This window comes from Homo sapiens, chromosome 5, assembly GCF_000001405.40.
Source record: "Homo sapiens chromosome 5, GRCh38.p14 Primary Assembly".
Lineage (NCBI taxonomy): Eukaryota > Metazoa > Chordata > Mammalia > Primates > Hominidae > Homo > Homo sapiens.
Genome location: NC_000005.10, coordinates 151,304,065 through 151,318,052, shown reverse-complemented (window position 1 = coordinate 151,318,052; position 13,988 = coordinate 151,304,065). Strand labels below are relative to the sequence as shown.

The following is a 13,988-nucleotide window of genomic DNA, read 5'->3' as shown; positions in this document are numbered from 1 at the left end:
ACTTAGCATTATCATGGGAATTACTAACTGTTTAACAAATTTTATCTGAAACTGTCATATCTTCCATTTGTTCTTCCATAAAAGCCCTTTCTCCTCCCTCCTTTTCCCCTTATTAAGGGGGTATCTTTGGCTGTTCTGGAAGCCAATTCTTCTCAAGGCTCTGGAGCTTATATATACACTTTGTCTTTTCTCTTGTTAATCTTACCTATTGTCAGTTGAATTCACAAGCACCCAACCACTGACCCTAAGTTGGTAGGGGAAAAGTTTTTGAATGAATACATTTCCTCCCAACAATATGAATGAACAATATGAATGAATACAATTAGACAGAGACTCACCAAATTTTGTTATTGTTGTTTTGAGATGGGGTCTCACTATGTTACCCAGGGTGTCCTTGAACTCCTGGATCCTCCTGCCTCAGCCTCCCGAATAGCTGGGGCTACAGAAATGTGCCACTATGCCTGGCTGAATTTTTAATATGTAACTTCTAGGGAATATGATTAGGGATATTGGAGGACTTTTAACTTTTCTTTCTGTAATTGAATTTCTGAGAAACAATTAGTTCATTTTTTAAGAAGAGGATTTTTTTTTTTTTTTTAATGAGATAGGACCTCACTTTGTCACCCAGGCTGGAGTGCAGTGGCGTGATCTTGGCTCACTGCAACCTCCACCTCCCAGGTTCAAGTGATTCTCCTGCCTCAGCCTCCTGAGTAGCTGAGATTATAGGCACCCACTACCACACCCGGCTGATTTTTGTATTTTTAGTAGAGATGGGATTTCACTATGTTGGACAGGCTGGTCTTGAACTCCCAACCTTCAGTGATCCACCCATCTAGGCCTCCCAAAGTGCTGGGATTACAAGTGTGAGCCACTGTGCCTGGCCAAGAAGAGGACTTTAAGAACAAACTTTCAAAGCTTGGCTAAGCCTGGAATGCTCCATCTCTCCACTATCCTCTCCCTGCAGGCCTCCTGGCCATCCTCATCCCCCGCCTGGACCTGGTCATCTCCCTGGTGGGCTCCGTGAGTGGCACCGCCCTGGCCCTCATCATCCCACCGCTCCTGGAGGTCACCACGTTCTACTCAGAGGGCATGAGCCCCCTCACCATCTTCAAGGACGCCCTGATCAGCATCCTGGGCTTCGTGGGCTTTGTGGTGGGGACCTACCAGGCCCTGGACGAGCTGCTCAAGTCAGAAGACTCTCACCCCTTTTCCAACTCCACCACTTTTGTTCGGTGAGCCTGGCACTGCTCCTTGCCTACCAGCACCCGACTTTTAATTATATGGATCTCTTTTTTTTTTTTTTTTTTTTTTTGAGACGGAGTTTCTGTCTTGTTGCCCAGACTGGAGTACAATGATGCGATCTCAGCTCACCACAACTTCGGCCTCCTGGGTTCAAGCGATTCTCCTGCCTCAGCCTCCCGAGTAGTTGGGATTAGAGGCATAGTCCAGCACGCCTGGCTAATTTTGTATTTTTAGTAGAGACGGGGTTTCTCCATGTTGGTCAGGCTGGTCTTGAACTCCCGACCTCAGGTGATCCACCCACCCCGGCCTCCCAAAATGCTGGGATCACAGGCGTGAGCCACCTCGCCTGGCCAGATCTCTTTTATATGCATTATCTTTATGTCACTGCTTTGCCTTTTCTCTGGGCCAAGTCATGGTGAAACAAGAAAGCTACAAGCTCTAAATGGTAATTTTTTACATTTTTGTTTTGTTTATTACTTCTTCTTTTCATACCTCTGGCATTCCACTACATTGTGAGCTTTCCCTTGGAAGGCTCTGGACTCTATCCAAGCTTATGATAATTCACACAATGAATTTCATACCTAGCGTGGAGCTATGCAAGAAGCAGCCACCAGAGGGCCCCAAGTGGCAGCAACTGGCCAAAGGAGATGCAGCCAGCTAAGACTGTCCACACTTTGGCAGACAACCGGTTTTCCCTTTTCTGGGTCTGTTCAAAAAGCAAACATTAAGGGTGGGCACATAATCCACAAGCCAGAAAGTTGTGCACGGCTCCAGTGTTGAGATGGGTAGGGCCAAGATGACCAGTGTGAAAACTCTCAGATAGAAAGGAGCCATGCATATTAAATGAGGGGCAACAAACATTTCAAACGATTAGATAACATTTTCTCCCAACTCAAAGATCCCAACAATGAATAGGAGGCATGGAAGTAGATGTGCCAATGGGGAGGGATGAGGAGTGAACATGAATATTATTTGAATAGACTTTACCTCTTAATTCTTGCAACATGCATTCTTGATTACCTACTGTGTGCCAAACAAGATTTTGTAGAATATTGCAAAAATGACCATAAATTCCTCGTGATAATGTGACTTTGCACCTGCTCCTATGAAAAGATGAAGTCTGTATCTGTATCCCTTAAATTTTTTTGCTTGTTTGTCGGTTTTGTTTTGTGTTTTGTTTTTTTGAGATGAAGTCTCGCTCTGTTGCCCAGGCTGGAGTGCAATGGCACAATCTCGGCTCACTGCAACCTCCACCTCCTGGGTTCAAGCGATTCTTCTGCCTCAGCCTCCCAAGTAGCTAGGATTACAAGTGCCTGCCACTATGCCTGGCTAATTTTTGTTTTTCGTAGAGATGGGGTTTTACCATGTTGGCCAGGCTGGTCTCAAACTCCTGACCTCAGGTGATCCACTTGCCTCGGCCTCCCAAAGTGCTGAGATTACAAGTGTGAGCCACCACGCCCAGCCTCTCCCCTTTAAATTTGATCTTGGCCTTGTAACTTGCTTTGGCCAATGGGACATTAGTAAATGTGATGCAGTCAGAGGTTTGGTAATAACCTATGCATCAGGACTTACATCACTTGCTGCTCTATGGAGTTGAGACCACCAAGTAAAGCATCCTGGGCTAGCCTACCGGAGGATCAGAGACCATGTGGAACATAAATGAATCATCCCAGTTGAGCCCTGTCCGCAGATCAACCAGCCTACCAACTTCCAGACACGAGTAAAGCCATCCTAGACTATATCCAACCCCAGTCAGGCTGACACAGACCATAAGAATTGTACAGATAATCCACAGAACTGTGATAAATAATAAAGATGTTTGTAATTTTAATACATAAAGAGTGGGAAGTTTTATGCAGCAAAAGATAACTGATAAATCATTCTAAAGAGGATACACTGATTAATGAGAAAAGAATCCCTGCTCTCAAGCAGCCAGTCTGCTGTCCATTGGGGAAGAGTTAACAGGTAATCAACTAAGTAAATACCATCTAATGTCCATCTAAGGGCAAAGGACACTACCTGCTCTAGAGCACCAAAGAAGACTTTCCACAGGTGGTATCATTTGAGCTGGGCTTTGAGTAGAACCTGAATCTTCTACGACTGAGCCTGAACCTTCTTCCATTCTGTCCTGCTGCCTGGACATTACAGCACCTATGCTTGTGTCTGATCTTGGCTGGCAGCCAGAGGCAAGCCAACCTGAGACATCACCTCCATCCTTCTGGTGGTGACTGCTCTCTCCCCTCCCCTCAGAATTACTAAAATTGAGAAAACGCACCTAGATAAATAAATAGATGTTGAAGATCTATAGTCCCAAAAGGTGGGGAGAGGAGAGTTTCTCATCAAACTCTCCGTGGTTTACGGGAATGAGCTATGCCTGTTTCAGCCTCGGTGTTAAGAGAACATTTGAAAAAGCCCTGTCCTGCTTATTTTCATCCTTCGTCTTCCCTGTGCCCCCCAATTCCCACGTCCCGGTCTGCTCTTTCTGTATGTTACTTTCTATCTGCTGGACTTCCAGAAGATACTTCACCAGCACAAGTCCACTCAGATGGAGGAAAGGCTGGTGGTCCACACCCAGATCCCATAGCCTACAGAGTCCCTGTTGGGCAACAGGACACTCATAGCTCGTGCAGGGGTCCACAGTCCACTTTGCCAGAGAATGGGTTGTCATTTCCACCCTGAGCTCTCTGTTTCATCAGCAAACCCAAAGGACTTCCAATGATCCATCCTGAGTGTTGGCAATGTGATCATCCTCTCTGGAAACATTTCTCTCCCACCCTGCTCCACTATCAATCACCGCACCCATCCTTGAAGTTTAAAGTTATCTTCTCTGTTATTAAGAAAAGTTTACACTCATTCTCTAAAGATAAGCCCCTACTGTGTAAGAGGATAGGGTTAATTTTATTACTCAGACAAATCTGGCTGAAGTTAAACCTTGGAAAGAAAAACTAAATTTAGCAACATTGATATAACCAACAAAACTAAGCTAGGGAGACTCATTAGTAATCATTGGCAACACTAAAGACTACTACATGTTAGCTTTATGTCTGAGTGGTGGTGATATTAAAATTTCTTAAGTGGTTTGGAACTGATTTTTTTAGTACACACATATGCATACACACGACTTTCTTCCCCCCATTTAACTTACTATTTATTTAACTTCTGGAACTTGCTAGTGAGTCAAGGAACATAGAAAACCCTTCCTCCTTTCCTTCATTGAGTGCTTACTAAGGATTTTACATGAGATCATCTCATTTAATCCTTACAATGACCTGTGATGTTTACACTGTCATTGTCTCCATTTTCAGATAAGGAAACAGACTCAGAGACATTAAATAACTTGTTAAAGATCAAACACGTAGTGAAGGATGGATCCAGGATGCAAACATTTGTGCATCAAAGCTCCTCACTGCATTGTAGGGCCCAAGGGAGGCCACTGAATGGTGGTTATCAAAATGTAAAATAGGGAGGAGGTAGAGCAAGATGGTAGAAAGCTCCACTGATCTGTCCTGTCCCCCAACCCCTGCTGCAAGGACACCAATTTAACAATTATGTACACCTTCATAAGAACCAAAAAACGTGGGCACTCACAGTACCTGGTTTTAACTTCGTATGGCTGAAAGAGGCACTAAAGAGGTAAAAGAAAAAACAGTCTTGAATCAACTGCGCAGCGCCACCCCTCCCCCACCCCCAGCAGGGGCCCATGGTGCCCAGAGTATCTCTGGGCTCTGGGGAAGGGAGAACCCAGTAATTGTGATGCATTGACTAGGTGCTGCCCTTGTTATAGCAGAAAGGAAAACCAGACCAAACTCAGCTGACACCCGCCCACAGAGGGAGCATTTAAACCAGCCCTAGCCAGAGGGGAATCACTGATCCCAGAGATCAGAACTCTAGTTCCCACAGGCCTCACCACCATGGGCTAAAGTGCTCTGGGGCTTTAAATAAACTTGAAAGGCAGTCTAGGCCACAAGGACTACAACTCCTAGGAGACTCCTAGTACTGAATTGGACCCAGAGACAGTGGACTGGGGGAGCAGGAGACATACTGAGACACCAGTTGGGGTGACTAAGGGAGTGCTTGGCATCACCCCTTTCCTAACCCCAAGAAGCACAGCTTGTGGCTCCAGAATAGACCCCTTCCTTTTGCTTGAGGTGAGGAGAAGGAATAGTGGGGAGGACTTTATCTTACATCTTAGATACCAACTCAGCCACAGAAGAATAGGGCATGGGTCAGAGTCATGATGCTGCCTTTCCAGACCTTAGCTTCTGGGCATTTCTAGACATACCCTGGGCCAGAAGGGAACCCACTGTCTTGAAGGAAAGGACCCAGTCCTGGCAGCATTCATCACCTGCTCACTGAAGAGCCCTTGGGCCCTGAATAAACACCAGTGATACCCAGATACTACATCAAGGGCCTTGGGTGAGACTCTGAGACCTGCTGACTTTAGTTACCAGCTCAGCCACAGGGGTAGAGCACCAAGTAGGCTCTTGGGGTCCCCAATTCCAGGACTTGGCTCTTGGATGGCATTTCTGGACCTGTCCTGGGCCAGAGGGTAGCCCACTGCCTTGAAGGGTGAGTCCCAGGCCAGGCAGCATGCACCAAAAGCTGACTGAAGAGCCCTCAGGACTTAAGGGAACATTGGCAGTAGTCTAGCATTACTCCCTGTGGGCCTGAGGTGGCAGTGGCCATAGGGTGAGGCTGCCCTACCTTTGGAAAGGGGAGGGAAGAGTGAAAAGGACTGTGTCTTGTGGTTCGAGTGCCAGCTCAGCCACAGTACAATACGGCACCAGGTAGACTTCTTAGGTTTTTGATTCTAGTCCCTGGCTGTCAAGACAGATGGCACCTCTGGACCTGCATACAGCCTGGGGGAACTCTCCACATTAAAGGGAAAAATACAGACCCGAATGGCTTGCCACTTACTGATTATAGAGCCCCAGAGCCTTGAGCAAACACACGCAGTAGCCAAGGAGTGGTTACAGGAGGCCTCTAGCAAGACCCAGTGCTATGCTGGCTTCAGGTCTGACCCAGTGCAGTCATAGTGATGGTGGTCACAAGGGTGCTTGTATCACTCCACCCCCAGCTTCATGTGGCTCAGAACAAAGAGAGAGACTCTGTTTGGGAGAAAGTAAGGGAAGAGAACAAGAGTCTCTATCTGGTAATCCAGAGAATTCTCCCAGATCTTGTCCAAGATGATTAAGGTGGTACCTCTGTCAGTCTGCAACAACCACAGTGTTGCTGGGCTTGGGTTGTGCCCTGAAGCAGATACAACTTAGATCACAACACCCAAGCCCTTTCAAATATCTGGAAAACCTCCCCAAGAATGATGGATACAAACAAGTCCAGACAGTGAAGACTGCAAAAAATACTTAACTCTTCAATGCCCAGAAACTGAAGAGCATTTACTAGCATCAACACCATCCGTGAAAACACGACCTCACCAAATGAACTAAATAAGGCACCAGGGACCAATCCTGGAGATACAGAGATATGTGAACTTTCAGTCAGAGGATTGAAAATAGTTGTTTTGAGGAAATTCATAGAAATTCAAGATAACATAGAGAAGGAATTCATCAGATAAATTTAACAGATATTGAAATCATGAAAAAGAATCAGAAATTCTGGAGCTGAAAAATTCAATTGCCATACTGAAGAATGCATCAGAGTCTTTTAACAATAGAATCAATCAACCAGAAGAATTAGTTAGCTTAAAGATAGGCTGTTTGAAAATAGTCAGAGACCACCAAAAAAAAAAGGGATAAAAAATAATGAAGCACACCTACAGGATCTAGAAAATAGCCTCAAAAAGGTAAATCTAAGTTATTGGCCTTAAAAGAGGAAGTAGAGAAAGAGATAGGGGTAGAAATGTCATTCAAAAGGATAATAGAGAACTTCCTAAACCTAGAGAAAGTTATCAATATCCAAGTACAAGAAGTTTATAGAACACCACGCAGATTTAACCTAAACAAGACTACCTTAAGGCATTTAATAATCAAACTCTCAAAGATCAAGTATAAAGGATCCTAAAAGCAGCAAGAGAGAAAAACAAACAAAAACACCATGGAGCTCCAATATGTCTGGCAGCAAGACTTTTCAGTGGAAACCTTATAGGCAAGGAGAGAGTGGCATGACATATTTAAAGTGCTGAAGGAAAACACTTTTACCCTACAATAGTATATCTGGTGAAAATATACTTCAAACATGAACGAGAAATAAAGACTTTCCCAGACAAACAAAAATTGAAGGATTTTATCAACACCAGACCTGTCCTACTGTGTCCGGAATTGGTGGGTTCTTGGTCTCACTGACTTTAAGAATGAAGCCGCGGACCCTCGCGGTGAGTGTTGCAGTTCTTGAAGGCGGCGTGTCTGGAGTTTGTTCCTTCTGATGTTCAGATGTGTTCGGAGTTTCTTTCTTCTGGTGGGTTCGTGGTCTTGCCGGCTCAGGAGTGAAGCTGCAGACCTTCCCGGTGAGTGTTACAGCTCTTAAGGCAGCGCGTCTGGAGTTGTTCCTTCCTCCCGGTGGGCCCGTGGTCTCGCTGGCTCAGGAGTGAAGCTGCAGACCTTCGCTGTGAGTGTTAACAGCTCTTAAGGCAGCGCGTCTGGAGTTGTTCGTTCCTCCCGGTGGGCTCGCGGTCTCGCTGGCTTCAGGAATGAAGCTGCAGACCTTCGCAGAGAGTGTTACAGCTCATAAAGGCAGTGTGGACCCAAAAAGTGAGCAGTAGCAAGAGTTAGTGCAAAGAGCGAAAGAACAAGGCTACCACAGCGCAAAAGCGGACCGGAGCGGATTGCTGCTGCTGTCTCTGGCAGCCTGCTTTTATTATCTTATCTGGCCCCACCCACATCCTGTTGATTGGTAGAGCCGAGTGGTCTGTTTTGACAGGGTGCTGATTGGTGCGTTTACAATCCCTGAGCTAGACACAAAGGTTCTCCACCTCCCCACCAGATTAGCTAGATACAGAGTGTCCACACAAAGGCTCTCCAAGGCCCCACCAGAGTAACTAGATACAGAGTGTCGATTGGTGCACTCACAAACCCTGAGCTAGACACAGGGTGCTGATTGGTGTGTTTACAAACCTTGAGCTAGATACAGAGTGCCGATTGGTGTATTTACAGTCCCTGAGCTAGACATAAAAGTTCTCCACGTCCCCACCAGACTCAGGAGCCCAGCTGGCTTCACCCAGTGGATCCCACACCGGGGATGCAGGTGGAGCTACCTGCCAGTCCTGCGCCGTGGGCCCGCACTCCTCAGCCCTTGGGTGGTCGATGGGACTGGGCGCCGTGGAGCAGGGGGCAGCGCTCATCGGGGAGGCTCTGGCCGCACAGGAGCCCATGAAGCGGGTGGGAGGCTCAGGCATGGCAGGCTGCAGGTCCCGAACCCTGCGCCGCGGGAAGGCAGCTAAGGCCCGGTGAGAAATGGAGCGCAGCGCCGGTGGGCTGGCACTGCTGGGGGACCCAGTACACCCTCCGCAGCCGCTGGCCCGGGTGCTAAGCCCCTCATTGCCTGGGGCCAGCAGGGCCGGCCGGCTGCTCCGAGTGCGGGGCCGCCAAGCCCGAGCCCACGCCCACCCGGAACTCCAGCTGGCCCGCAAGCGCCGCGCGCAGCCCCGGTTCCCGCTCGCGCCTCTCCCTCCACACCTCCCTGCAAGCTGAGGGAGCCGGCTCTGGCCTTGGCCAGCCCAGAAAGGGGCTCCCACAGTGCAGCGGTGGGCTGAAGGGCTCCTCAAGTGCCGCCAAAGCGGGAGCCCAGGCAGAGGAGGTGCCCAGAGCGAGCTAGGGCTGTGAGGACTGCCAGCACGCTGTCACCTCTCACTGCCAGAAATGCTAAAGAGAGTACCTCAATCAGAAAGAAAAGGACATTAATGAGCAATAAGTAATCACCTGAAGGTACAGAACTCACTGGTAATAGTAAATACACAGAAAAACACAAACTATTGTAACTCTGTAACTGTGGTGTGTGACCTACTTTTATCCTAAATAGAAAGACTAAACAATGAACCAATCAAAAATAATAACAACTTTTCAAGACTTAGTACAATAAAATATAAACAGAAACAATGAAAAATTAAAAAGCAGGGTGATGAAGTTAAGGCATAGAGTTTTTGTCAGTTTTCTTTCTTTGTTTTTGTTCATTTGTTTGTTTATGCAGTGTTCATCTGTTATCAGGTTAAAATAATGGGTTATAAGATAGTATTTGCAAGCCTCATGGTAACCTCAAACCAAAAAACATACAATGGACACACACACACACACACAAAAGCAAGAAACTAAAGCATATCAAAAGATAAAAATCACTTTCACTAAAGGAAGACAAGAAAAAAAAAGAAGGAAGAGAAAACCACAACCAGAAAACAAGTAACAAAATGGCAAGAGTAAATCCTTACTTATCAATAATAACATTGAATGTAAACGGACTAAACTCTCCAATCAAAAGACATAAACTGGCTGAATGAATAAAAAACAAGACCCACTGATCCGTTGCCTATAAGAAAATGACTTCACCTATAAAAGCATACATAGGCTGAAAATAAAGGGATGAAAAAATATATTCCATGCCAATGGAAATCAAAAAAAAGCAGGAGTAGCTATACTTATATCAGACAAAATAGATTTTAACACAAAAACTATAAGAAGAGACAAAGGAGGTCACTATATAATGATCAAAAAGTCAGTTCAGCAAGAGGATATAACAGTTGCAATTATATGTGCAGCAAACACTGGAGCACCCAGATATAAAGCCAATATTATTAGAGCTAAAGAGAGAAATAGATACCAATAGTTAGAGACTTCAACACCCAACTTTCTGCATTGGACAGATCTTCCAGACAGAAAATTAACAAAGAAACATAGGACTTAATCTGTGCTATAGACCAAGTAGATCTAACAGATATTTATGGAATATGTCATCCAGTGGCTTTAGAATACACATCCTTTTCCTCAGCACATGGATCATTTTCAAGGATAGACCATATGTTAGGTCACAAAACAAGTCTTAAAACATTACAAAAAACTGAAATAATACCAAGCAGCCTCTCTGACCACAATGGAATAAAACTTGAAATCAACAACAAGAGGAAGTTTGGAAACTATACAAACACATGGAACTTGAACAGTATGCTCCTTAATGACCAGTGGGTCAGTGAAGAAATTAAGAAGAAAATTTAAAAATCCTTGAGACAAATGATATGGTAACACAACATACCACAATCTATGGGATACAGCAAAAGCAGTACTAAAAGGGAAGTTTATAGCTATAAGTGCCTACATCAAAATAGGGGAAACTTCAAATAAACAATCTAATGATGCATCCAGCTGGGAACGGTGGCTCACGTCTGTAATCCCAGCACTTTGGGAGGCCAAGGTGGGTGGATCACTTGAGGTCAGGAGTTCAAAACCAGCCTGGCCAACATGGTGAAACCCCATCTCTAGTAAAAATACAAAAAAATTAGCTGGGTATGGTGGTGGGTGCCTGTAATCCCAGTTACTCGGGAAGCTGAGGCACGAGATCACTTGAACCCAGGAGGTGGAGGTTGCAGTGAGCCAAGATTGTGCCACTGCACTCCAGCCAGGGCAACAGAGCAAGACTCCATTTCAAAAAACAAACAAACAAAATGCAGCTTAAAGAACTAGAAAAGCAAGAGTAAACCAAACCCAAAATTAGTAGAAAAAAAGAAATAATAAAGATCAGAGCAGAAATAAATGAAATTGAAATGAAAAAACAATATAAAAGATTGATAAAACAAAATGTTGGTTTTTTTGAAAAGTTAAACGAAATTGACAAACCAATAGTCAGACTAAGAAAATAGAGAGAAGATCCAAGTAAATAAAATCAGAAATGAAAAAAGAGGCATTACAACTGATACTGCAGAAATACAAAGGATCATTAATGGCTGCTATGAGCAACTATATGCCAATAAATTGGAAAATCTACAAGAAATGGACAAATTCCTAGACACATACAATCTACCAAGATTGAACCAGGAAGAAATCCAAAACCTGAAGAGACCAATAACAAGTAATGAGATCAAAGCAATAATAAAAAGTCTCCAGGTAAAGGAAAGCCTTGGACCCTATGGCTTAACTGCTGAATTCTACTAAACATTTAAAGAAGAACTAATACCAATCCTACTCAAACTATTCCAAAAAACAGAAGAGGAGGGACTACTTCCAAACTCATTGACTATTATAGAAGTTCAGTATTACCCCGATACCAAAACCAAACAAAGATACATTTAAAAAAAAAAGAAAAGAAAAGAAAAGGAAATTACAAGCCAACATCCTTTTGTGTGCTTGCTCTGGGTGATGGTGATTTCCACGGTCTCTGTTTTGTAGTTGCGAGTTTGGCTTTGCCTTGTTTTAAAACAAGCATAACGTTTATTATAATTGATCACTGTCTTGTTTACTTGTTTACTGTTTGTCTTCCTACTAAGGGAAAGACACACTCCTTGAAAATGGAACCATGGTCCATCCTATTTATTGTTAAATCTGCAGCACCTTATATAGAATAGGCATGGGTTAGGTAAGTATTAAAACAACGAATAAATGACATGGCAAAACCCCATCTGTTTTGGTTTTTTTTTAAATTTTTTTCTCGAGACGGAGTCTTGCTCTGTCATCCACGCCGGAGTGCAATGGCGTGACCTCGGCTCACTGCAACCTCCGCCTCCTGGGTTCAAGCGATTCTCCTGCCTCAGCCTCCTGATTTGCTGGGATTACAGGCACATGCCACCATGCCTGGCTAATTTTTTGTATTTTTAGTAGAGATGGGGTTTCACCATGTTGGCCAGGCTGGTCTCTAACTCCTGACCTCAGGTGATCTGCCCACCTTGGCCTCCCAAAGTGCTGGGATTACAGGCATGAGCCACTGCACCCGGCCACAAAACCCCATATCTACAAGAAATACAAAAATTAGCTGGGCATGATGGTGAATGCCTGTAGTCCCAACTACTCAGGAGGCTGAGGTTGGAGGATTGCTTGAGGCTGGGAGGAGGAGGTCACAGTGAACTGTGATTATGCCACTGCACTTCAGCCTGGGTGACAGTGAGACCCTGTCTCAAAAAATAAAAATAAAATAAAATAATAAATGCATAAGTGCAACAGGGGAGGGGAAATTATTTTCAACTTGAGAAAAAGTCTTTTGGGCATCAGAAGAGAGAGATATTTCATCTGATATTCAGAGGAAGAGAGAAGCTCCCAGTGCTGATTTTACAGCAGCACAAAGAGGTGGTGTGGGGAGTACCTTGGCCCCCATGAGCTTCATAAGCAATCTGTGCAGTCATCCCAAACAAACGTGCAATCAAAGTCCAGTGCTGGTGCTTGCTCTGCAAAAGCAGCTTCAGGACGCGATTTTGTTAATGCCAGTCCCATTCTTTCTGTTACTCATATCAAAAATATTGGAGTCTTCCTTGATTCCTCTCTCTTTTATACCCCACCTCAAGTTCATCAGCAGATCCTCTTGGCTTTATCTTTAAAAGTATCCAGAATTCAGTCACTTTTCACCATCTCTTTCACTACCACCCTGGTTTAAGCCACTACAGACCGACACCTGGGTCACTGCAACACCCTCCTGGATTATTGTAATAGCCTCCTAATTGATATCCCTTGCACCCCTTCAATCTGCTCGCAAAAAAAAAAAAAAAAATGGCCAGAGACATCCTGTCAAAATGTTTAAGTCATGTCATTTCTCTGCTCAGAACCCTCCATGATTTCTCATCTCTCTTAAAGTAAAATCCAAAGTTGTTACAATAGCCTACAAGATCCTGCCCACCCACTCCATCCCGCTTTCATTACCTCTTTAACCACATCTCTGGTGTGACCATGTAATTATCATCCAAACCAGGATATCTCTTTTTATTTTATTTTATTTTTTTTTTGAGATGGAATTTTGTTCTTGTCACCCAGGCTGGAGTGCAATGGTGCGATCTCCGCTCACTGCAACCTCCACCTCCCAGGTTCAAGTGATTCTCCTGCCTCAGCCTCCCAAGTAGCTGGAACTATAGGTACATGCTACCAAGCTCGGCTAATGTTTATATTTTTAGTAGAGATGGGGTTTTACCATGTTGGCCACGCTGGTCTCTAACTCCTGACCTCAGGTGATCTGCCCACCTCGGCCTCCCAAATTGCTGGGATTTTAGGTGTGAGCCACTGAGCGTGGCCTATTTTATTTCATTTTTAGGGTGGTTTCCCAGGCTGGCCTCAATCGATCTTCCCATTTCAGCCTCCCGAGTAGTTGGGTCTACAAGTGTGCACCACCTCGCTCAGCTGCAGGATACTTTTAATAATGAAGGGAGGCACCATTAGTAATTATGCCAGGGCAATAGGCACAAACCAGGCGAATCCATTCTCCTCTGTGTGCTCCCAGATAGCCATATGACCTCATTGCCATTCCTAAAACACCCCAGGCACTCTCCTGCCTCAGGACCTTTGCACTTCTTGCCCCTCTGCTAGGAGTTTCTTACCCAAGACCTACATGAGTTGTGTTCCCTCATCTTGTTCAGCCCTTTGCCCAAATGTCACTTTCTAGGTGAGGCCCTCTCTGATCACCCAATCTAAAATTGCGACCCTCCCCCTAGCTGAAACTCTCCATTACCCTTGCCTGGATTTTCTCTATACCGCTTTTTACTAACAGATACTTGATATATTTGTTTCGTTTATTGTCTGTCTCCCCCAGCCCCTCCAGATTGTAAATTCCATGAGAACAGAGATTGTAGTAAGTTTTCTACCCTAATATATTCCCAGCATGGAGAACAGTTT

General features: G+C 44.8%; 1 protein-coding gene across 1 annotated transcript in view; it reads left to right on the top strand.

Moving 5' to 3' along the window:
* SLC36A2 (solute carrier family 36 member 2) overlaps positions 1-3,081 on the top strand; it is a 32,588-nt gene extending 29,507 nt beyond the window's left edge. The window contains exon 10 of the mRNA NM_181776.3: positions 965-3,081. Within this exon, the coding sequence (NP_861441.2) occupies positions 965-1,236 (272 nt within the window). The 3' untranslated portion in view covers positions 1,237-3,081. The remainder of the gene's footprint in view (positions 1-964) is intronic.